The 25,720-nt window shown below is 47.8% G+C and overlaps 2 long non-coding RNA genes across 2 annotated transcripts in view, besides 1 other annotated feature; both read left to right on the plus strand.

Moving 5' to 3' along the window:
- Nucleotides 5,522-5,786: a silencer, noted in NCBI's record as "fragment chr2:47043065-47043329 (GRCh37/hg19 assembly coordinates)". NCBI's record gives its function as "represses an EF-1alpha promoter that drives an FKBP-Casp9 reporter gene in an ReSE screen in phorbol 12-myristate 13-acetate-treated (for megakaryocytic differentiation) K562 erythroleukemia cells {active_cell/tissue: K562(+PMA)}" and the evidence as "EXISTENCE:reporter gene assay evidence [ECO:0000049][PMID:32094911]".
- On the plus strand, nt 6,264-12,256 carry LINC01118 (long intergenic non-protein coding RNA 1118). Its single transcript, NR_034099.1, has 4 exons — nt 6,264-6,508; nt 6,844-7,029; nt 7,776-7,827; nt 11,697-12,256. It is a non-coding gene; the product is annotated as a long intergenic non-protein coding RNA 1118 (long non-coding RNA).
- A 5,203-nt stretch (nt 12,257-17,459) lies between these two features.
- LINC01119 (long intergenic non-protein coding RNA 1119) overlaps nt 17,460-25,720 on the plus strand; it is a 31,143-nt gene continuing 22,882 nt past the window's right edge. Inside the window, exon 1 of the long non-coding RNA NR_024452.1 lies at nt 17,460-17,680. This is a non-coding gene — a long non-coding RNA (long intergenic non-protein coding RNA 1119). The remainder of the gene's footprint in view (nt 17,681-25,720) is intronic.

Consider the following 25,720-nt stretch of genomic DNA (forward strand, 5'->3'; position numbering starts at 1 on the left):
ATTTATTTTAGAGACAGGGTTTCACTCTGTTGCCTAGGCTGGAGTGCAGTGGCATGATCATGGTTCACTGCAGCATCCAGCTCCTGGGCTCAGGTGATCCTCCAGTCTCAACCTCCCAAGTAGCTGGTACCACTGGCATGTGCCACCATGCCCGACTAATTTTTTTATGTTTTGTAGAGATGGGATCTTGCTATGTTGCCCAGGCTGGTTGTGAACCACTGGGCTCAAGTAATCCTGCTGCCTTGGCCTCCCAAAGTACTGGGATTACAGGTGTGAGCCACCATGCGCAGCTAATATTTGCTTTAGAGTTCTGCTTTAAACTATGCATATGTTATATGCATTTTAAATGATTTTATTTTTTAAATAAAAAGAGGAAATAAAATTTTACCTGCCAGTTCTGAACTCAGGGCACACCAGCCAAGCAAGAGATCAGGGCACAGTTGAGAGTTAGAGAGAGCAGGCCACCTGCTGCTGAAGGATAGGGGACTCAAATCACAGATGACCTGTAGTGGTCACTCCACACACATGATTTGTCTTGCTTTGTCTTGTTTTTCCCAGATAACAATTGCTAATAGAATTATTATTCCACTCAGAATGCTAAATATGGTAAATTTATTTATCCATGACTTCACTTATAATGCTATATAATAAACTACTTAAGTGTGTTTCCCCAGCAGAGGATGAGCCCCCTGGGGGCAAGAAATGGGACGTTTTCATGCTTGTACTAAAGCAGAGTGCCTGACACTGTAGATCCTCAATTAAAAGGTCACTGAAAGGATGGACTCCAGATGACTGGATGGACAGGTAGATGGATGGATAGACATCTTAATGGTTGCAGGTCTTTGTTAAATAGGGGATTTTATTTTCAGAACTAGCGAAGGGATTTTTTAAGCCTCCCATGGGGAATACAGTGGTGTTATAAAAGTGCTAGTGTGGTATAAACAGAGAGTACAGCATATTTAATGATTTAGTGAATGGGACAACAGATTCTATGTTTTGAGTGCCCCATTATGTCCCTGTCCTATTATGCTGCTGGGATTTGTCAGCCACACAGGGTGTGCCACCTCCTTGCACAGCTCCAGGGCACCTGTTCTCTTTGTGTTTTAGGTAAATAGTGTTCCTGGAGTTGTGCAGTGGGCAAGTTCTGAGCCCACCTTTGCTGGGGAGGCTCTGCAGCGCCAGGCACAGCGATGGACCCAGGATGTGAGGTGAGCGTGCAGGCTGGCTCGACGCACCTCCCACCCCCTTGTCAAGGAGGGAAGCACTCAGATGACGTGTTTTGGGAAACGTTTTCCTTCCTCACTGTTTTTCCTTCTGTTTTCATTTCTTCTCGCCTACTTTTCTCCCTCCCTTTTTCCTCCTTTTTCTCCTTTCTCTCTTCCTCTTTCCCCCTTTTCCCTTCCTTCCCCTTGCCCCCCTCACTTCTCTCTTGGTCCCCTCGCCTCTCTCTGTTCCTGTCCTTGTCCTTCTTTTGTCTCCTTCTCCTTCCCAACCCCTGCACTCAGAAGTGATCTTTTGGGTCCTCTATATCTGTCTCCTACTCTCAGTCGGGCAGCCCAGCAGTAAAGACATTGAAACTTAATTCTGCAACCCTCATCTCCCCTCCCCAAGAGACCAGCTCTGACTGTGGTTTTTAAGAGGCCCAATTTCCTCTGGGACCTTCACCCTGTGCACTCCCCACCCCACTGCCACCCACAATGTGCAGACCCCTTTGGGTGGCCTGGAATCTGCTCCACTAGGTGACCACAAAGCCCCTTTGGGCTGGCTTGGGGGTCCTTTCCAAAGCTGGGGGCAGGAGAGGAACCCTCTTTTTACTTCTAAATTTATCCATCCTTAGCTCCATGAGCAAATGCCCCACTCTTCCTGGACCCCACAATAGAAACACAGACTTTGGCTGCCCTTCTTTTCACCCCTAAGGAGGGCTGCTTTTGCGCTAAGGGGCATTAGAAGATCATCCTCTGCCAGGAATGCATAGATGCTTTTTCTCTGCAGACTCTGCCCTGAGCTGATTTGACCTGATTGACTGGAGAGGCAGGGATTGTGGAGCAGAGCGGGAGGAGCATAGTGGGAGGGGGCTGGGAGAGGCAGAGGGAGAAGGAAAGCTCAAAGTCCAGAATTTTAGAACCGGAGGAGGAGAAGGAAGGACCCTGTAGGATCCAGCACCCCATCCCACCCATTTCTCTGCCAGAGTCACAAGCAGTCTGCCCCCTTCCTGTGTGGGTAATTGGCAAAGCCCGGACAAGCAGGCAAGTCTCCGATTCCATCCCAGCCCAGCACCGCCCACCGTCTTATTCAGGCAAAGAGAGTTGACTGTCTTGGCAGCAAAATGAAACCTTTTGATTTACGAGGAATTCTGAGATATCTTCCAGCTGACAGTCTTTGGAGAATTGCACAAGCCCACACTTTTGTGGGGGCAGCATTTAATGAAATGAACACATGAGTTATTCGTTTTTCATTAAGGATGACATGCAGAGAGTACATATCAGGATGAAAAATAGGTCCTGGCCTGGGGCTCCACAGCCTCATGATCTTGAGTGAGCAGGAGAGCCAGGAGCACCCACTTCCAGAGGCAGGGAACGGGAGGAAGGAGAGCTAACACCTTCGGAGCACTTACTGTCATCTTCATTGTCTCCCGTAATTCTCACTAGGTACTCTTGCTCCAGAGTTACAGATGAGAAAACTGAGGCTCAGAGAGAGCAAGTAACATGCCCAGAGTCACCCAGCTAGTGAGGGACAGAGGTAGGATTTCAATCCCAGGCTGCTTTGGCTCAGCTCCAACAAGCTGTCCATGCAGGAGCAGGAGGCCAACTGTGCAGGGCCTGGGGACCAGTGGTGCAGACGGGACCCACGCTGCAGACGTTCACTCCAGATGGATGCTGAAAGACAGAGGAGCCCTGAGGCCTGGCAAGGAGAACCGTAGGCTTTGGTGGTCAGCCAGGCCCGGCTGGAGGGTGGCTGAGCCTATGAAGTCTGGGAAGCAGTTGGGCCATGAAAGTGATGCCCAGCAGTCTCTGTTTTTGCTGTTTTCCAGCTTTCCAGCCTCCGAGCAACTTGGCATCTGTATGAGAAAACCCAGTCAGCCCTCATCTCAGATGCAGGTGCAACACATATGGCCGTCAAGCTGGGCAGACCTGAGTTTGAATCCTGAGCCTACCGCTCGTTAACTGTTAGACCCTGAAAAAGTGCCTCAACCTCTCTTGAGCCTCCACTTTCCATACCTGTCATGTTTATTTAACAATACCTACCTCTCAGCATTTTCATGAAAGTTTTAAGATGATATTATTATGAGTAGCAGCTGTATAACAGTAATAATAACTCATGTATACTGAGTGTATTTATATGCCCTGTACTATGCTGAGAACTTTACATACATTACCACATTACCTGACTTAACCTTCAAAACACCTCTCTGAAGAATTGCTGTTACATAACAGCCCCATTTTACCTGCAAGAAATGGAAGCTCAGAGTTCTTTGTTGCCCAGGTCACGTGGTTAGCAAATAGAGTCAGGGTCAGAATTTGAACCCTGGTCTGCGTGCGCCTGCAGCCCACCAATATGAGTCTTAATGAACAAAGTACCTACCATACAGTAGACCCTTAACAAATGGGAGTTCGAGTCCTTTCTTTCTCCCCTAAATGCACAGATTTTCACAGTGCCCTCTGAGATTTGCTTTAGAGCTTGCCCACATGGAGTTTTCAGAAAGTCAGGAGAAAGCGAGGTGGTGGGTGCATCCCCCGATCCAGGGACCCCTCCCTCCCCCCGCTCAGCCTTCCTTCCTTTTAGGGTTTGGCAAAGGCTGCTTCACTCGAGGCCTCTCATGGAGCTGGAAACAATGCGAGTTTATTTTGGCACGGCAAAGAGGGCCCGATTCCCCTTCTCTGGACGCCTCTGTGGGAAGAGGACTAGAGAATGTGGCCCAGGCCGCTGTCAGTTCCCGTTACTCTCCCCAGCACGTCCACGGCCGAGTCACAGCCATCACATGTAGCTCTGAGAAGGAAATGAGATAAGAGCTTTCTTTCCACTTCAGACTGATCATAAAATTTCCCCTCCTCTCTCCACGCTCCCCCACAAAAAGAAGTTGAACCAAGGACATGGTGCTGCCGTTAAACTGAATACTCTTAGCAGATCTCTTCTCAGTCCTGTGGGGACATCCTCACCTGGGTATTTGGCTACCTGTGGCAGATACGATAAGCAGGGCCCATGGCCAGTGTGGTGATGGAAGTCATAGACACTCAGAGTGGCAAGGGACTGTCACTGTCCTCTGATCCCAGCCCCTACCTGGCTTAGATTCAGATTCAGCCAGTATTTATCAGATGCCAACCCTGGGCCAAGCCAGGAGTGCTTTTGCATCTGTTATTTCATATTTCAGAATCCACACAACGTTCTTTTTGGAAAGGCCTTACTTTCCCATCTTTACAAATGTGGAAACTGTGGCTCAGAGAGGTCAAGTAGTTGGCTCAAGATCATGACGTGAGTAGGTCAGTGGTAGCGCTAGGATATGGTCTTCCAGCTCTGAGACCAAGCCCTGTCTGTCCCAGGCACAGGAGGAGTCTCTTCTACAACACTCCAGGTAGAAGATTCATCCAGACTTTGAATTCCTTGGGTATTCCTTATTTCTAAGGAAAGTCTCATCTAAAATGTTTTTAGGGGTTGAACTAAAACCTACCTCTCTCTCACTTTCATCTATGGGTCCTATAAGTCCTAAATCTAACTCCAGGCAAAGGGAAGAAAGCCAGAGCTCTGCCCTTGGCCATGTCTGTTCTTCAGAGATGAGAAGATGGCCCCAGATGACCCTTGGCTGCCCCACCCCTGTCCTAGAACCAGCCCTGCCACTTCCTAAATGTGGACTCATTTCTTAACATCTCTGAGTTGCCATCAGATGGGGGCGATGGTGTCTACGTTGCCAGATGGCTGAGGGACTCAATGAGAGGATGTCTCAAATGCACTTCCCCCAGAGCCTGCACACAATTAGCTCTCAGCCAATGGCAGCTATTGTTGTTTTATCGTCAATAGTATTTAACCTCTCCAAACCTTGGTTCCTTTTCTATGGAGTGGGAATTATAATACCTACTTTCGTTTCCCCCATCAACGCAAGTAGGCATTCCAATAATACCAACTTCACATGTCTGGGAGGAACGCACAACGATGCAGGCAGAGAGCGCTCAGAAACTATGAAAAGCAGGTCACGTGCTCTGGCACCCTGGCTGCCTTTTTGGGGAGCCTGTTTCCTGAGCCTTCTGTCCTTCACCAGAATTTTCAGGGTTGTGATGTTTTTCTCTTCAAAAGCATCTCCTCTGTAGCCCACTCCCCACCCCCAACAAACTTTTTTGAGCTAAAGAGAAAAAAAAAAACCATACAAATAGACAAGTGTTTAGTTGGCCAGGTGCAGTGGCTCACGCCTGTAATCCCAGCACTTTGGGAGGCTGAGGCAGGTGGATCTCTTGAGGTCAGGAGTTTGAGACCAGCCTGGCCAACATGGTGAAACCCTGTCTCTACTAAAAATACAAAAAAAGTAGCCGAGTGTGGTGGTGGATGCCTGTAATCCCAGCTACTTGGGAGGCTGAGGTGGGAGAATTGCTTGAACCTGGGAGGTGGAGGTTGCAGTGAGCCGAGATCATGCCACTGCACTCCAGCCTGGGTGACAGAGTGAGACTCCGTCTCCAAAAACCAAAAACCAAAACAAAACCAAAAGAAAAGTGTTTTGTCTCTTTTTTGCCTCTGCATGCACCCTGGGGTCAGCTGGAGTCTTCCCACCCTTTACAATATAACAAGGGTGATTCAAATCCCCTATCCTGGAGGTGGTAAAACTCAAAAGACAGTTGAGGGTAGAAGACGAAATGGCACGCATCTCAAAGACAGAGAGCAGAGAAGGTGTGCAGGTGCGGAAAGGACTGCTAGTGTCCACAGGGAACCCAAGGCCACTGACCTGGAGGGTGGGAGAGAAATGGGCGGGAATCGGAGGATGTTGGGAGAGGGAGGAAGGTGGCCCACACCTCAGCTGGGAGGCCCTATTGGAGTGCACAGGCCCCTTTGCTTGAAATCCAGGAGAAGGGGGCTCCTGAGGCTAGAATTTGTGTAGTTCTTAAAAGTTTTCAGAAGCACATTTTCCCCTGTAGATTCTTTCCTGGAACAATCCCACCAAGCCTGCAAGGTGAGGAAGGAAATTGAACACGCCCCTCCTGAGCTCCTCAGGTGCACCTCGTGCTGCTGTCCTGGGGCCATCTCCCAACTCCTCCCAACCCCTCATAGCCCTGCTCTGGAGCAGGTAAATATTCCTCACGCCAGCAGGTGAGGAGGCTGGGGCCAGATGACAGCTAGTGAGGGAGCAGAGACAAGACAAGGCGAGCCTGTGACAGAGCGAGACCCTGTCTCAAAAAACAAAAACAAGACATGTGAGCTTGGACTCCAGTGTGGAATCCCATGTCCGCTCAGTGCACCTTTCTGCCGCTGAAAGTACAAGAGGAGAGGGGAAACCCACAGGTGGAGCTGACCATGAGGACTGTCACAGGTGAGCTCAGGGGCTTGGGCGCCACCCCACAGGCCATGGGGGGCTGCTGACCAACTCTGGGAGTGACATCATGAGGAATGTGGCATTTTAGGACAGTTGCCTTCTTAATGAAGAGGACTCTGCTGAGTCTGGTGTAGCCAGGGGTGGCAGGAGCCAGCTGACATGGGTATGAGGGCTACTCCCTGACCCTCTCGGGAGGGTGTTACTAGCAGCAGCCACTGCAGCCCTGAGCCCCAGAAACACCATTGTGGAGGCTTACAGTGCCTTCTCGAAGCTACCCAGCTTTCCCTCACCAGGGGCTGGTCCTTGGTTCCCACCTGCTGCCATTCTTCCAGCTTTGAGAGGCAAATCCAGAAATCAGCCCTCCAGCTTCCTCTACCAAGAAGACTGGCGGTTACAACCCTGGCTCTGTGGGGCTTCTCTTGCCCTCTCTTCTGACTGCCCTACTTGGCTCCAGGTGAGGGTGAGAGGAAGCTGGAGATGGAAGATGCAGCTGGGGGAACTCACCAGGCAGGTCTCAGGTGAGAAGGGTGGGTGGGGAACCCGGCCCTGGCCCAGAGCACTGGAACTGTCCAGCAACCCTGGGGAAGGTGAAAAACCACCACTGAGTAGGCGGTGACCTGTTGGGTGTCGGTGAGGGGAGCCCATGGGCTGCAAAAGGCACATTGGGGTCTCCCTCTTCCCATTCACACTTCACCCTCCAGTCACCCCAGCTTGGCCCAGGGCCAGGCAGGGGAGGCGCTGATCAGTCATCAGTAGTGCCGCGATCACAGTTTTCAGAGCTCCTTCCCTGCCTTAGCCTTCTTGATCCCTCAACAGCTCCTTGCAGGAGGGAGGTAGGGCAAGCTTTGTCTTAGTTTACAGATATGGAAACTGAGGCTCAGAGAGCTCATATGACTTCTCAAAGCCATGCAGTTGATGAGGGACAGAGTGAGGTCTAAATGCAGGACCTCCCAAGAATGGTGGACTTTTCCTCTCTGCCTTGTCCCCCCACTTCCTCTGTCAACTCTAGGAAGATTGGTCTGGGGACCCCTGCAAAGGCACAGATGGGAATAAGCACCTTGGTCAAAGGATGATAAGGAAAATGGTGGACAGATGGGTTGAAGAAGGATCGCTTGATTGAATTATTGAGACCTTATTTCCCTGAGCCTCCATCAGGTGATCCTTATATCTGTCCTGGAACACTAGACCACCCAGAAACAGGTGCAGCAACCCGGGCCAGCCCAGGCCGCTCATTCTGCTCCTCCTCTTGCCTCTCCTCCTCCAGGGAACTCTTTGAATAAGAGGACACCAGATCATGCCTGCAGTTCCAGCCCAGGGTGAGGTTGAAACACTTATGCTTCCTATTTAAAGCCACATCTCATTCATCATTTCAGCACCAATCAACAATTAAACCTGATTCAATGGAGCCCTGACAGCTAATTTAAACCGAGCCTCACAATCGGCCTGACACTGGCTATTTAAAACTCTGTCCTGGCCTCTGGGGCCTTTCGGAACCAGGACTGTTTGTCCTGCCAAGAGCAAAGCCCCACCCGCTGTGGCCTGGATCCCCATGTATGTAGTGTGCAGGGTCTGTTCCAGCCATCACTGTCTCTGCCTGGCTCCCTGTAGGGCTGTGGGAGGGTTCTGGGAGAGGTCGGGAATGCCAGGAGGAGGAATTGGTGAAGCAAAGAAAAGGCAAAAGCCCACTGAGAGGTCTAATGAGCCCCAGGTGCACACACTTGTGTTGTGTGTGGCTTTCTTCAGGCCCTGGGCAAATGTGGCAGCCTGGGGTGTATTGGGAGCATCAGAACCCAGGTCAAGTCCTGACTCTGCAATCCATAAACCAGTTCCGTGACCTTGCCCAGGTCCTTCCTTAGTTTCCTCACCAGTGTGGTGAGAATAACAAAGATCTCTTCTCAAACCGTCTCCCTGGGAGTTAAGAGATTCCCCCATATCTGGTGATCCCAGGTAAAGCACATGGAAAACCACCAAGTCCTAAAGCAGAGAAGTTCTGAGCAGAGCAGGCCTGAGCTTGTATGGGGCCTGGTGCTGTGGGGCACCATGGCAGATTCCAGCCTGTGGTCATTATTGGGTTGCCTGGTGTCCCCATGGCTCTCTAGCGCTGATGGAAAACAGCCTTATATCACTAAGTGTGGACAATAACCCCTTCAGGCTGAGAACTTGGTTCAGACTTGTGTAGTCAGAGACATCTTCCTGGAGGCAGTGGACTTGAGCCAAGCTTTGGAGGCTGCAATAATTGAGTAAGTCGGCCAGGCTCACACCTATAATCCTAGCACTGTGGGAGGCCAAGGCAAGTGGATCACCTGAGGTCAGGAGTTCGAGACTAGCCTGGCCAACATGGTGAAACCCCATCTTTACTAAAAATAAAAATAAAAAAAATTAACTGGGCATGGTGGTGGGCGCCTATAAGCCCAGCTACTCGGGAGACTTAGGCAGGAGAATCGCTTGAACCCAGGGGGTGGAAGTTGCAGTGAGCCGAGATCGTGCCACTTCACTCCAGCCTAGGTAAAAGAGCAAAACTCTATCCAAAAAAAAAAAAAAAAATTGAGTAAGCCTAGAATGAGGGAAGCCAAACCAGGCAGAACCACTTAGAGCTAGTAGAGCTTCCACAGCCATTTCCTACTGGATCCTCAAACACTCCTTTTTGAGCACATTGAGAGTTTCAAAGATCAGATAGTTGTAGATGTGTGGTATTATTTCTGAGGGCTCTGTTCTGTTCCATTGCTCTATATCTCTGTTTTGGTACCAGTACCATGCTGTTTTGGTTACTGTAGCCTTGTAGTATAGTTTGAAGACAGGTAGCGTGATGCCTCCAGCTTTGTTCTTTTGACTTAGGATTGACTTGGCAATGCGGGCTCTTTTTTGGTTCCATATGAACTTTAAAGTAGTTTTCTCCAATTCTGTGAAGAAAGGCATTGGTAGCCTGATGGGGATAGCATTGAATCTATAAATTACCTTGGGCAGTATGGCCATTTTCACGATATTGATTCTTCCTATCCATGAGCATGGAATGTTCTTCCGTTTGTTTGTATCCCCTTTTATTTCACTGAGCAGTGGTTTATAGTCTCCTTGAAGAGGTCCTTCAGATCCCTTGTAAGTTGGATTCCTAGGTATTTTATTCTCTTTGAAGCAATTGTGAATGGGAGTTCACTCATGATTTGGTTCTCTGTTTGTCTGTTATTGGTGTGTAAGAATGCTTGTGATTTTTGTACATTGATTTTGTATCCTGAGACTTTGCTGAAGTTGCTTATCAGCTTAAGGAGATTTTGGGCTGAGACGATGGGGTTTTCTAGATATACAATCATGTCATCTGCAAACAGGGACAATTTGACTTCCTCTTTTCCTAATTGAATACCCTTTATTTCTTTCTCCTGCCCGACTGCCCTGGCCAGAACTTCCAACACTATGTTGAATAGGAGTGGTGAGAGAGGGCATCCCTGTCTTGTGCCAGTTTTCAAAGGGAATGCTTCCAGTTTTTGCCCATTCAGTATGATATTGGCTGTGGGGTTGTCATAAATAGCTCTTATTATTTTGAGATACGTCCCATCAATACCTAATTTATTGAGAGTTTTTAGCATGAAGGGCTGTTGAATTTTGTCAAAGGCCTTTTCTGCATCTATTGAGATAATCATGTGGTTTTTGTATTTGGTTCTGTTTATATGCCGGATTACGTTTATTGATTTGCATATGTTGAACCAGCCTTGCATCCCAGGGATGAAGCCCACTTGATCATGGTGGATAAGCTTTTTGATGTGCTGCTAGATTTGGTTTGCCAGAATTTTATTGAGGATTTTTGCATCAATGTTCATCAGGGATATTGGTCTAAAATTCTCTTTTTTTTTGTTGTTTCTGCCAGGCTTTGGTATCAGGATGATGCTGGCCTCATAAAATGAGTAAGGGAGGATTCCCTCTTTTTGTATTGATTGGAATAGTTTCAGAAGGAATGGTACCAGCTCCTCCTTGTACCTCTGGTAGAATTCAGCTGTGAATCCGTCTGGTCCTGGACTTTTTTTGGTTGGTAAGCTATTAATTATTGCCTCAATTTCAGAGCCTATTATTGGTCTATTCAGGGATTCAACTTCTTCCTTGTTTAGTCTTGGGAGGGTGTATGTGTTGAAGAATTTATCCATTTCTTCTAGATTTTCTAGTTTATTTGCGTAGAAGTGTTTATAGTATTCTCTGATGGTAGTTAGTATTTCTGTGGGATCGGTGGTGATATCTCCTTTATCATTTTTTATTGCGTCTATTTGATTCTTCTCTCTTTTCTTCTTTATTAATCTTGTTAGCGGTCTATCAATTTTGTTGATCTTTTCAAAAAACCAACTCCTGGATTCATTGATTTTTTTGAAGGGCTTTTTGTATCTCTATCTCCACTTGCCACTGAGAGCTTAAGACAGCAGGACACTGGCTGGGCTCTCCTGATATCACTTGCTCTGCCCCGTTCTGCCCCATCCAAAGAGCAGGGAATACCAGAAGTAGGGGGTAGGGAAACAGGAGATGGGAAAGTGGAAGGACTCCAGCAGGGGTCCTTCATCTACATTCCTAGTGCAGACCCTTCTGGAAGGAAAAATACATACAAAAGGTGCAGTTGGGAGGCTGAAGGGCACCACCCAACCCTATCACTGCCAGGAACCTGAGCTGCCCCCGACAGAGTGAGAGGGGTCTCATGGGTCCCCAAGCTCTCTGTGTGGCAGGAAACAATAGCCACTTTTCTGGGGCCTCCAAGGAGAGGAGGAGTGAGATCACACCTGGGGAGGGTGAAGGCAGAAATACAGGATATGAGCATCCTCCCAGGGGAGCATGGGGAGCCAGGAGCAAGGCCTGGGGCTGGCTGCCTCCTCCCCAGTGTCCCTCCTTCATCTAGGTTCCTGGGCCACACACTCTGGACTACCTGCCTCTGCTGGGATTCTTCAATGGTCTCACAGACCCAACTAGACTGTAAGCTGCTTGAAAGCAGGTCCACGGCATCAGACTGTGGTTCAGGGCTCGGGTCCTGGAGTAGGGCAGGCCAGAGGCTGACCTACTTACTAGCTGTGTGATTTTAAGCCAGTCCCTTAACCTCCTTGAGATTCTCCTGTGCAATGAAGATAAAAATAGGACCTATCTCATGAGATCATTGGGAAAAGTAAATGAGTTAATCAGAGTAAGTGCTTAACAAAAATATCTCCATTGCTTGTGCCCCCAGAGCAACTAGCACCAGCCTCAGCATGGAGCAGGACTTCAGTTCCAGCAGCGAGGACTGAGATCAGACACAAGAGAAAGCTCCCTGATGAGGAGGGGTGATTCTAAAACGAAGGGCGGAAATTATCTGGGGAATTTCCTTCCCGTGAAGCCTCAGGAACATGCCAGTCCCCCACTTCGGTCTGTCCTGGGGGGTCTCACGCCCCTGTCCTCCTAGAGAAATCTAGATCCTCCAAACTCTGCCTGGGTTCTTCCTGGGGAGTCTTGACCCCTGCCTTGTGGTTGATGTGGGATAGGGGACCCGGGAACAGGGCTGCCTTCCTCTGGCCAAGGCCTGGCAAGCAAGTGTGGGATGGGTGCTGTCTTCCTGAGAGGGACAATAGAAGTGACAGAGCCCCCTAATTCAAGACCCTGCAGAGGTGGTGTGAGATCTTATAATATCAGTCTCTAAGCCAGTGCCTCTCAAGCTCTCTTTGGTGAAGAATCAATTTTTAAAATATATAATCAGTCACAGATCAATGCTTTTGTAAAATGCAATAAAAGTTAATTTCCAAAAAAATCACATACTTGGGTACCATGGTAATGTCAATGTAAAATTGCTGTAAAATTGTTCTAAGTGCTTACTCTCAATGTCTGTGCTCAGCTTATCAGCAACCAGTAACAGTTTGTACCACTGGTTTGTACCACGACAACCATGCTACACTTGGAGCTGACACTTTCATAAAGGTTAATTTCCCTCTTTTCCTTCCTGAAGTTTGACCTCTTCCTTGATTAGATAGGAGGAGGGATTCCGACAGCCCCTCACCATCTGTTTAGAACCTCTCCCCCCATTGCAGGTCCTTCCTGGTCATCTAACACCATATGCCATATGGAACAGTCCTGATTATACATATTCTGTCTCATGGGCAATGTGTTCTGATTTGGGTCTTTTTTTTTTTTTTTTTTTTTTTTGAGACAGATACTCTGTCACTCAGGTTGGAGTGCAATGGCATGATCATAGCTCACACTGCAGCCTCCAACTCCTGGGCTCAAGCGATCCTCCTGCCTCAACCTCCCTTGTAGCTAGGACTACAGGTGTGAGTCATCACCATAGCTGATTTTTTTTTACTTTTGTTATTTGTAGAGATGAGGACTCACTGTGTTGCCCAGGCTGGTCTTGAACTCCTGACCTCAAGCAATCCTCCCACCTCAGCCTCCCGAAGTGCTGGGATGAGCCACCCATTCACACAGGCATGAGGCACTGCACCTAGCTTGATTTTTTTTTCTATTGACTGCCCTACAGTAGATGTGTTCGTGAAAACGTGAGCATAGATTCTGTATTTGATGCAAAAAAGAATGAGGAGAACTGGGTCCCAAGGCAGGCAAGCCCTTCCTGGGATGGTTATAGGAACCAAAAGTGTCCTGCTGAGTGGGACACAGTGCAAAGGCTTCTGCCTGGAATTATAACAACTGCAGTTACAATTTTTTTTGAGCACCTAAGATATGCCAGACCCTGAGCTTCACAAGCCGTATCTCTATCTTTCCCAGCAATTTTGCAAAATAGATATGATTTGTCTAATTTAAAATGAGCTATATCAACTCCATGTGGCTATGCAGGTGCTATGCAGCCTAGAAGGCTTTAAAACGGCATCTTCCAAATGCTGGTCTGGGAGCAGCTTCACAGCATCCTGAGGAGCTTTTTAAAAATGCAGACACCCAGCCCCACATCCTCGATTTTTATTCGAAGCCTGTGAGCCTTCCCCAGGCCCCCCAGGTGACTCCGAATCCTGGCTGGCTCTGGCACTGCGGTTCTGGGCTGCTAAGGGCTGGGGTCTTGTGGGCTGAGGGGGAACCATAGGAAAAGTCCAGGAAAAGCCACAATGGGAAGGGTGCCTGGGAGGGAACTTCAGTAAACTATAATACAGCCATATGGCAGCATACTATACAGCCCTTAAAAATGAAGAATTTGGCTGGGCAAAGTGGCTCATGGCTATAATCCCAACACTTTGGGAGGTCAAGGCAGGTGGATCACCTGAGGTCAGGAGATCAAGACCAGCCTGACTGACATGGTGAAATCCCATCTCTACTAAAAATGCAAAAATTAGCCAGGCGTGGTGGGACACACCAGTAGTCCTAGATACTCAGGAGGCTGAGGCAGGAAAATCGCTTGAACCCGGGAGGCAGAGGTTGCAGTGAGCTGAGATCCCGCCACTGCACTCCAGCCTAGGTGACAGAGCAAGACTCCGTCTCAAAAAAAAAGAATTTGTGATAACATTAGAACAGACATTAAGGGAACAAGACAGGTAATAAATTGCGTATATAGTTTTGCCACAGCTGTATAACAAATGCAAAAGTGCATGTTTTTTTAAAAAAAAGACTGGAAGGAAAAACAAAATGTTTTATTGGTTATCTCCACATGAAGATTCTATGTGATTTTACCTTCCTCTGTACACTTTTCTCCCTAGGGAGCGTGTTACCTTTCTAAATAGAAAAGCGTAAGTGTGTTTTTGAAAGAGAAAAGTCTGTCATCCTCTGTCACCCCAGCCAGCAGAAGTCAACTTTCACATTCTGGAGTTAGGCAGAAATTGCTGGGGTTTTTGTTTTCTTCTTCCCTCTGAGGGCAGGAAATAACTCTTTCCCACTGGGTTTCCTGCTGGAGTTGGAGGCCCAGAAAAATTCTGGCTGAAGACTGGAGGCAGGTATAAACATGCCAGGCTTGCAAGGTCCTCTGTGAGTGGCTCTTGGGTATCTCTGCGTCCCTCTCTCTCCAGCACCTGCTCTGGGAGCTGTTTCTGGAAAGCACCATCACCACTTTTGCAAGGCCGTCCTCTCTACCTGGAAGGCTCTTCCCTGCTCCTCTCTTGCTTAACTAACATCCTTCGGCCATTGTCTTAGGTGTCCATGTTCTAAGGCCCATCTTCCCTGACCCCCAGTACTGAGTCAGGACCCCCAAGAGCTCCCAGAACACCCTGTTCTCCCTGATTTGATTGTCATCATGGGTTACTTCTAAGGCTCCCCAAGGGTTGGGACTCTATATCCGGTGCATTATCAAAGCCTGGTACACAGCAGGCACTCAATAAATGTTTACTGAATGAATGAAGAAATCCTGCCTTGAGATCCAAGGTACCAAAGGAGCTCTGAGAGAGGCAGGTGTCATCCCAAGGAGCTCTGGTACCTGCCTCTCTCAGAGCTCCTTGGAGGAAAGGGTCCAGGTAGTTCTTTCTGCATAAAGCTGTTATGGCTGGTGCCATGTGATTCAAAAACCACCTCCACCACCTGCTCCAAGGGATTAGACCGGAGATAGGAAGGCAAGCAGACAGCGGGCAGGAGGGGGCTGGCCTCCTCTTCAATGGCTTGCTCAGAAACTCTGCCCCATGCAGGGACTCTGTCTAGGGTGGTGGCTAACTGGCCCAACAGCTAGCTTCTTGGGAGGAGGCTCACTGAGGGAAGCGGTTGTCCTAAGGGCCGCTGAGTTTCATCTGGTTGCTCTGGGAAGGATGCGCTTCTGCAAAAGCCCTGGAGGCAGAGCCCCTTCAGCCTCTCCAGGCCTCAGAGCTGAGCCCCGCCCCCCGATGCCCCCACCCATCTGACTCTTCTTGACAAACTAAAAAGGCTGCCTTGCAGGGGAGGGCAGCCACCCACGGTGTCACCCTCTGGCTGCTCACCGGCCACCCTTGGGCCTCTCCTCTGGGCCGCCCTTCCTTCTCGAGTGTTCTCCGTGTGAGGGCCCTGGCCCAGCTGGCCCCAAACGGGATTTGGGCACCCAACCCAGACCGGCAGGTTTGCAGGTGGTTGATGAACTCAGGGCCCTGCCGTTCTGTTTCCAGGATCCCCTGGCCTGGGGTCTAGGGGATGAGGTAATGGGACTGCCCCTGCCTCCCACACATCTCCTAGCGGAGCGAGGGGCTCACCTGGTGCACAGGCCCACTTTGGTGGGGTGGAACAGACCACACAGAGGGATTGCGGGTAAATAGAAACGTGTTACTGGTGCTTCAGAAATGTGCTGGGAGCGGGGGGTCCTGAGAGGGCAAGAGTGGGCTTCCAGAGCCTAGGAGGGACTGACCTTGCGCATCAGAGGGCAGTGACCTGCTAAGGCCAGCCCTTAGGATGTCTCGAGTTCTGCCAGGTTGTGCTTGCCCTCACCCTGCCATCTTCTCCGCCCTTTCAACACTCTTCTCCCTTTCCTTTCCCCTCTTCAGGAACCAGTGCCCTCTGGCCTCTGGCAGCCACATGTTCCAGTCTTGGAAGGATAACTCAGATCTAAAATATTCTCATTGCACATTAGCCCGTGCGTCACCATGCTGTGGCTCCCCCAAAGCCTCCTGCCACGGAAGGCTGGTGGCTGACACACTCACCCACACTGAGGTGCCAGGAACAGGGTGGCTTGGGGCAGACAGTGAGGAAGCAGGGGCAGATTTAAGAGTGGCTCATGGAAAGGAAGACTTCTGCCAAAGGAATGAGTCTCTCAGATGAGGAAGAACTGGTCCAGTGAGAGAGAGAGTGGGGGCTCCACTCAGAGTTGACCACCTTCTCTGCCACAACAGGGAGGTTCTGCCCGGGGCTAAGGGGTGGGGAGGGAAGCCTGGGGATATGAGCTTAGTGAGGGCCACCCGCCGTGAAGATGGGCCGCCTCATCACAGCCGAGGTGGAGAGAGCGCTGAGCTGGGAGCCCAGACCCCTGTCAGTGCTAGCCCAGCTCTGCCTCAGATGGCCCGAGTTTTTGCAGATCACCTATTGGGCCCCAGTTTTCCTACTGGTAAAATGGGAACAAACCTATCCACATCTCAGGGCTGTTGTGAGAGCCATTGAGATAAGACAGGAAAGACATGGGCAAGTCAGACGAGAGACACCATGAGGCAGTGGAAGGGTAGCCAACAGGGCATCAAGAGATGGACCTGGGCAAGTGCCTGCCCCTCTCTGTACACTGCAAGGGTCAGAGCAGCCGATCTCGGAGGACCTGTCAGCCCCAGCCTCTCTTATCTTCCCCTGCTCCAGGGAAGCTTCCTGAGGAGGTGCCAGAGCAGCTCCGGTCACTCGCCATGATGGCTCAGAGCCAGTGCCAAGGGCCTCGCTCCGACACTCACCTGAGGACACGTGGGGAAGCAGGCAGAGGGAGGAGGTGGCCCCACCCACTCCTGCAGGTGGACTTGCTTCTCCTCAGTCCTCACCCTCTGGCTTCTGGTGGGTTTTCCTGTCCTATTTGCTGTGATCCCCTGACAGCCAGCACCCCTACAAACACCACACACACACAAACACACACAGTGTATGTGTGCACAGTGCTGGTGCTAGACTGAGTCACACACACACACACATACACACGCTCATGCATACTCTTTCACATGCAAAAACATATACTCTGACACACACACACACATACACACACACATACACTCACACATGCAAACACACATACATGCACACACACACACACACACACACACATGCACACACACTAGTCCTCTGCCCTGCCTGGTGGCTTCTGGTCAAGTCCAGTCCTGGGTCCAGAACCAAGCTCCTGCAGTCTGGGGCTCCCCAGCAGAACTTGTGTCCTAGGAAAGCCACCTCCCTGCCCCCGCCAGGTCTGGACCCTGGGCACTGCAGGGACTGCTCTCAGGGAACGGCCTGGCCACTGATCTGCTTCAGGGTGAGCATGTTTCACAGCCACCTGGGTCAGGAAGCCCACATTCTCCCAAGGGAAGGCGACTCATAGCTAATGTCTGAGGGTGATCTGAGCACTCTTCACCACCCCGTCAGCCCTTAGCTTTCGTCTCATCTCCTTGCCAACAGCACATAAGTGTGAGTGACTCCTTACTGCCGTCCAGGCAGCCTGGGGGCTACGAGGGGCTTCAGAGGTCCTCATCCCCAGCCTGTAGGCCTGGCCATACTGGACCCATGAGATCAGCCACCCTGTCAGCTGGTACCTCGGGGTCCTACAGTCCTCCTCGCTCAAGCCCTGGTCCTCTAACTCGGAGGTGATGAGGTGTTGGGCTGGAAGAGACAGGCAGCCAGGTAAGAGTGTGGGGAGACACGGATGCCCAGTGGGCAGCTCTGCCCTGGGTGCTGCTGTTTCTGCCTCTCTTGGGATGGGTTGGGTTGAGGAAGGGACCTCTGAGATGGAGGAGGCCTCCATGCCCTTTGCCTCCCCTTCCCCGATGCCCCATCCTCCTCGTCCTCCTCGTCCTCCTTGTCCTGCCTCACTTGCCTCAAGTGCTCTCTGCATTGCCTTGCAGACCTCACCTCTCCATGTGTCTCTGTATCTCTGCCACCTTGTCCCTCTGTTTTCTATCTCTGGCTCCTTTCTCTGTGTCTATGCCTGTGTCCCCAGCTCTCTCTGGGTCCTCATGCCACTCTCTGCCTCCCTCTCACTCTGTGCCTCTCTGTCCTGTCTCTCTCTGACCAGTTCTCGGACCTCCTTCCCCTCCAGAGTCCTCCTCTTGACAATCCACTTTGTAGCAATCTCATGAAAAAAAGGAAAGAGAAGGCACTATGTGGTTTTATCATCACAATAAAACCTGGTGGGCTTGACATGCGGCTGCAGGGTCTGCCCACCCTCACAGCTGCCACCCTCCCTCCTCCAGGGCAGTCTCTGTGCATTCAGCAGAGGCACCAGCCTGGTGCAGCTCCCCTGCCTGACACTTCTAGAGCAGAAGCCCACCAGCCACAGGGCATGTCTTGAAGGGACAGCCAAGTATAGGGACAAAGCAGGAGCCCAGGACCAAAGCAGGTGTCCAGATGGAATTAGATGTCTGCTATGGAATGCATGTTGGAGATTAGGTGAAGCCCTAACCCCCAAGGTGATGGTATTTGAAGGTGGGGCCTTTGGGTGGTAATTAGGTTTAGATGAGGTCATGAGGGTAGGGCCCCCATGATGGGATTAGTGCCCTTATGAAAAGAGGAAGAGAAGCCAGAGTGCTCTCTGCCTTGCCATGTGAGGACACAACAAGAAGGCAGCCAACTGCAAGCCAGACAGAGCCCTCACCAGAAACTGAATTGGCCAGCACCATGATCTTGGACTTCACAGTCTCCAGAACCCTGTGAGGAATAAACCCCTATTGTTTAAAGCCACCCGGTCTACCATATTTTGTTATGGCAGCCCAAGATGACTAAGATGGTATTGCAACCTGATTGACCCCTCTGTAGGAGAGGCAGCAGCCTGGTGAGACTCCAGGCCTGACCTGGACCAAGGTCAACCCTGCCCTGCACTCTGCACCCCTCTACGCCCTCACCTATTGTGGCCTCTGGCTTCTGCCACAGAGACTCCCACAGGAATGTGAAGAAGGCACATGCCCCAGAGGGCTGGACCTGTTCCAGAGTCAGCCTAGCAACCTGCTGACTTGACTACAGTGGGCTCTGAGGTCCGAGGAGTGGCCCCTGGCTAGCACAGGTCACTGACACTTGGTGGTGCTTCCTGGCGGGGGTGGGAGGAGAACGGGCACTGGGACAATCCAGGTCTGCCCTCCCCCAGTTTTTCCCGTCACTGTCTCACGTCCTAGGAGTATCTGTGTGCCTTGTCTGTGCCCCACCAAAGGCTCCTATCTCTCTGCCTGCAAATCCTTCAATCACCACCCACATCCCATGCCCACCCAAGGGGATCCGCAAGTGATGAGCCACCTGGAGCAGGCGTGAGGAAGTGCTAACTCCAAGCCCTCCCCTTCCAAGCTTTGGCCTCTGTCGTGGTAACAGTTGCTTGTTTTTTGAACATCTAAAGTGTGTAGGAACTTGTGGTTTACAAAAGGGCTTCTCTTGCTCATTTCGTTTAATCCTCACAACAGGATTATTACCATGCACATTTTACAGAAGACGAAAGCAAAGCTCAGAGGACTAAGTGACTCCATGCTGATTACACAGCACAGGATTGACCCCCCCGCCTTCTAGGGCTGAGACCCAGCTAGTTACCATCTAAGCATCCCTTTCCTCCCAACACAAAGCCTCTGCATGGCCACTACAACCCTATTAACTGTCAGGCATACCTGTGCCTCCCTGGCCTGGGGCCTTTGGCCATTCCCCTGCCAGAAATGCCTTTACCTATCCTTTCGCTTTTTTACTCATTTTTCAAAGCCCAGCTCATGCCCCATCTCCACTTGAAAGTCTTCCATTGCCTTTATGGAACAAGCCTTCTTAGAGCCCATGTTGTGCTTGTAATCAGCACCATGAAGTTTAACAATTGTGGCAGAGCCAACTTGTCCCTGCACATCTACTCTCCCCTTCCTGAGTTTTACCTAGGCACATGGCTGCCTAGACAAAAGCCTGAATTTTCTAGACGCTATATGTTAGATGTAGTCAAGTTCTGATCAATGGGAGGTAAACAGAGTATCACTATGACTGTGAGAAAGTATTGATAAATGGTGAGGTACCATTCTTCTGCTGTCCTTTTCTACTTCCTTCCAGCTGAAATGTGAACATGATGGCTGGAGCTCAAGCAGCCATTTTGGGCCATAAGGTGGATGCCGTGTATGAGAATGGCAGAGTAATACAACTAAGGAACTTCAGATGCTAATACAGCTAAGGAACTTGAGATGCTGATGGTCATGGAGCTTCCTATACCTGGGCTGTTTACTTCTACACTTTGCTTATCTGAAGGGATAATCAACTTCTCTCTTGTTTACAACATTATATTTTGGGTCTTCTGTCACTTTAGCCAAATACTATCCTAACCGGTACAAAAACAACAACCAACCAATGAGTCTTTATTGAGCAGTTACTTTGTGCCACGCACTGTAATAGGCAAGGTTTTCAAAGCTGTTTTTCATTTAATTTTCACAGCAACCTTAAAACCAGGTGTTAAGACTAATTAAATTTGTGAGCTTCATCTCCCAAATGAATTTTTTGTTCATTTGTTGGCTCCTGCTACATACCAGACATTTGTCAAGGCATTGAGGGTACAGTAGCAAATAAGAGAAATTCCTTTTCTTCAAAACATTCACAGTCCAGTGGGAGAAACAGACAAGTAAGTGGAAATAACAATGCAATGTGAGGATGATAATAATATTATCATTTTAAGGTGCTATCAATTGTAGCATGCACTGTTATGTACTATCAAGAAAAAATATACTGCCATTAAACTGAATTATAATGCCTTAACGATAGTCTCACGTGACACATGAACCAGATACACCAACCTCTGCTTACTTTGAAATCGTTTATTAGCTATTCCAAGGGATTTCACAATTTCTCTGGCCCTTGGTTGCTTTGCTTGGTATGTGACAGGCCATCTTTTCAGACATATCTCAGTAACAAAACATAGCACAACTTCATCTGTTTATATCTTCGTTTCCTGTCCCATAAAGTACCTGATTGTGATTCTGGAAGAGGCATAGACTATGGTGGTGCCTCTGTTGGTGAATATTTGCCTCATTAATATCAAGTTTATGCCCTGCCACTTGGTTTCATGTTCTTCTTCACATTCAACAAATTTTCCTTTCTTTGTTGAGCAATAGCATTCTTGAAGGCAGTTTAGAGGCAGTTAAACTCAACACATAAAATATCTAGGAATGACAAAACTACGCATTCATTTACAACTCATAGCTCTAAAGAGCAAAGACCAAATTTATGCTTATTCAGGCAATGACAACTATGTGGCAACACCACAGGATAAACAATGATTATAAGATTTTTTGGGGCTGGGTGTGGTGGCTCATACTGTAAGCCCAACACTTTGGGAGGCTAAGGTGGGTGGATCGCCTGAGGCCAGCCTGGGCAACATGGAGAAACCCCATCTCTACAAAAAATACATGTGGTGGTACATGCCTATGGACCCAGCTACCAGGGAGGTTGACGTGGGAGGATCACTTGAGCCCAGGAAGTTGAGGCTGTAATGAGCTGCGAGTGTGCCACTGCACTCTAGCCTGGGCGACAGAGTGAGACCTTGCCCTGAAAAAAAAAAAAAAAAAAAAAAGATGTTTTTGATTGTAAGCACTGTGCAATCTCAAATGTTTGAAGAAGTGATTTTTTTTAAGTGTCTTCCAGAGGCTAGGAGAGGGAGGAGTAGGGAATGACTACTTCATAAGAATGGGGTTTCCTTTGGGGATAATGAAAATGTTCTGGAACTATACAGCAGTGATGGCTGCACAACACTGTGGGTGTACTAACTGCTGCCAAAATGTCTGTAGTGCGGGAGGCTGCGCATGTGTGAGGGCAGGGGGTATATGGGAAAGCTCTGCACCTTCCTCACAATTTTGCTGTGAACATAAACTACTCCCAAAAAGAGTCTTTAAAAAATAACTAAATCGCAAGCACTGTCCTTTGTGTTGTTGTTGTTGTTTGCTTCCCAAAGTGCTGAGATTACAGGCGTGAGCCACCACACCCAGCAACAAGCACTGTTCTAAGTGTATCACATAAATAGTCAAATGTAATGCCAACAACAACCATAAAACATAGCTAATAATAATCACTAACATCCATGGACCACCAATCTCTCAGTGACTTAGGACTTTATAAGCACTAGGTCATTTACCTCTCATAACAGCCTATCAAGTTCAGTCTGTTCTGCCATAATGCTTGTTTTGGAAATGAGAACCTATTCCAACATGATTGGTATATCAGGGAACAATATAAGCATAATGCAGATTTTGCATTTGCTCTTGTGTGATTTTGTCAGTGGGAAACACTGTCAGGGGTTGGTAAACTACAGCCCTCTGGCCAGTGGTCTGTTTTTGTAAATAAAGATTTATTGGAACACACTCATTCATTGAACAACAACAGCAGAGTTGAGTCATTGCAACAGATACGTCTGCAAAGTTGAAGGTATTTATTATCTGGACTTTTAAGAAAAAGTTGTGAAGCCCTGTGTTATGGGAAGCCAGAAAATGCACCCAGCTGAACCATATATCACAGACAAAACACACATGTACTTTAAAGAGTTAATCAGTTGTCTTTTCATTTCTTGATGTTATCATAACCACACAATATTTTTTAATTTTAGCATTTAAAAACAGCTTTATTGAGGCGTAATTCATGTACCATACATTTCATCCATTTTAAATGTGCAATAATTTTTAGTAAATTTACAGGGTTGTTCATTACCATAACAATCACCATAATCCAATTTTAGATAGAACATTTCCATCACCTCCCAATAACCCCTTGTGGCCATTTGCAGTCAATCCCTGTTACACTGCCAGCCCCCACCAATCACTGTAGATTTGTCTGTTTTGGACATGTCATGTCAGTGGAATCACATAACAATGTCATCTTTTGCATCTGGCTTCCTTCACTCAGCATAATGTATTTGAAGTTTGTTCACATGGAAGTATCTATCAGTAGTTTGTTCCTTTTTAATTGCTGATTAGTATTCCATTGTTTATCCATTCACTGTTTGACAGACATTTAGGTTATTTCTAGTTTGGGGTAATTATAAATAATGTTGTCATAATTTAATGTAATTGTCTTAGTTAGCTTGGGCTGCTATAACAAAATACCATAGACTGGGTGGCTTAAACAACAGACATTTATTTCTCACAGTTCTGGAGGCTGGGAAGTCCAAGATCAAGGTGCTAGAAATTTCAGTTCCTGGTGAGGGCTCTTGTCCTGGCTTGCAGAAGGCTGCCTTCTTGCTGTGTCATCAAATGATAGATCTCTGGTCTCTTTTCCAATTCTTATAAGGATACTAATCCCATCACATCTCCACCACTGTGACCTTATTTAAGCCTGATTACCTTCCAAAGGCCCTACCACCAAATACCATCATATTGGGAATTAGGGCTTTAACATAGAAATTTACAGTGGGGGACACAAACATTCATCCAATAACAGTAATTATTGATATTATTGGATTTATATCTATCATTTTGCTCTTTATTTTTTACATGTCTCATGTCTGTTTTGTTTCTATGTCACTCCTTTATCGCTTTCTTTTATGTTTAACATATATTCTTCTAGCAAACCATTTTAATTTCATTGTTCATTTTTACATATAATTGTTGAGTTATTTTCTTAACAGTTACCCTAGTGATTACAATATGCATCTTAATGTATCACAAAGTAGGAAGGTAAAATATTTGATTTGACAGTTTGTTAGCTTGAACTATTACTTTTTAATATTTAGGCATTTGGTGTGTGGTCTCCATTTGTACCCCACCCCAGGCCTTGCATACGTTGAGGAAGGCCTGCCTTTCACATATCTGTATGCATGTATTTTTTCACATAATTATATCCATACTATGAATTATATATTCTGAATACCGCAGTTCTATATTCTGCTTTTTAAAGTTAACATTTTGCCACAGGCATTTTTATTTGCCATACATTTTTATAAACTTTTTTAAAGGCTGTATTGTATTCCACTGAATGGATGGAGCAAACTTCAGTTAATCATTTCCCTACTTTAGGACATTTAGGTCATTTTAAATTTTTGCCTTAAAAAAAAAATAAAATGCTGCAATGAAGACTGGGCACGGTGGCTGATGCTTATAATCCCAACACTTTGGGAGGCCAAGGTGGGCAGATCTCATGAGCTCTGGAGTTTGAGACCAGCCTGGCCAACATGGCAAAACCCCATCTCTACTAAAAGTACAAAAAATTAACCAGGCGTGGTGGCATGCACCTGTAGTTCCAGCTACTTGGGAGGCAAGGGGGCTGAGGTGGGAGGATCGTTTGAACCTGGGAGACAGAGGCTGCAGTGAGCCGAGTTGGCACCTCTGCACTCCAGCCTGGGTGACAGAGGGAGACCCCATCTCAAAAAAAAAAAAAAATCGCTGCAATGAGGATTTTTGTACACATAACTCTTTTCACATTTTTGAATTTTTGGCATAAATTCCCAGTTGTAAAATTACTCTGTTGAATATAAAAATATGTTTATAGTTCTTGATATCTTTCACCGTATTATTTTCCTTGAAATTGTAACAATTTACTCAGGTCAGCAATGAGTAAATAGGTTGGCTAGCTATTTTATCACATCTTCATGAGTTCTGGGTGTCAAGTTAAACTTTCCACTTAACTTTGCATTTCTTTGGTGATTAGCAATGCTGCACATTTTTCTGTAAATCTATTTACTAGTTATAACTTGTTTTATGTAATTTGCTTCATTATGCTCCTTGCTTATTTGTATACATATAAGGCTTTTTATGTTTGTAACTATGAGTTTGTATGGACTCTTTATGTAATATATCCTCCTCAAAACATTTTAGGAAAGAGATAGAATATAAATAAAACCAGATTATTTTTAAACTTATCTACCTTAAATGCTGCAAATATTTTTCCCACTTGCCCCTTTTCAGTCTTTTTTTAATACAGAAAATTTACATTTCTCTGTAGTCAAACCTGCTAATCTTTTCTTTGTGATTTCTTCAATCATTTCTAAGTTTTAATAAAAAGACATTCTCCCTCCAGAGATTTGGTAACTGTTCAAGTCTCTCTTTTAGTTTGCCTTGGTTTTTAAAAAGTATGTATTAATAACTTTAATCCATGTAAAATTGCTCTGTAAAAATTCCCTCTGGTTGAAGAAAGAAGAGGATCTCAAAACTTAAGTTTCTCAAACTCAGTAGTTTCTCTTCCCTGGTTTCCTTGCCTGCATCGGACTGGGCCCTGAGCCTGAAATCCCAGAATTTTGAGAGGCCAAGGTGGGAGGGTCACTTGAGGGCAAGAGTTTGAGACCTGCCGTCCATCTGTCTACAAGGAGGAGATAACACAGAATCAGAGCTTGCCTCAACTCGCCAGCGCTGGACCCACATCCAAGGAGGATGGCCCAGAGTGGTGGGAAGAACATGACTTGGAACCCGAGTTTGGACCCTGGCTGTGTGTGAACGCTCAGGCTTCAGTTGTCCCTCTGCAGAATGGGGCAAAGGATGCCTGACTGACAGGGCTGCTGTGAACATAGTACAAGATGATGTATGGAATGTTCTAGAAAAGTACCTGACCCATCGTGGATCTCTCAGGGCCCTGCCTGTGCACTGACTTGGCTCCTGGGTCCCACCTCAAGATCAAAGGTGTTCCTGGGCCTCCTTCTCCTCTCCAAGGAGCATGGGCAGGCCTGCCAGAGCAGTCCAGAGTATCGGCACCTTTAGATGAGGAAACTGAGGCTGGGAAAGGCTAAGTGGTGGAGCAGCAGATGCT

This window comes from Homo sapiens, chromosome 2 (assembly GCF_000001405.40).
Source record: "Homo sapiens chromosome 2, GRCh38.p14 Primary Assembly".
Lineage (NCBI taxonomy): Eukaryota > Metazoa > Chordata > Mammalia > Primates > Hominidae > Homo > Homo sapiens.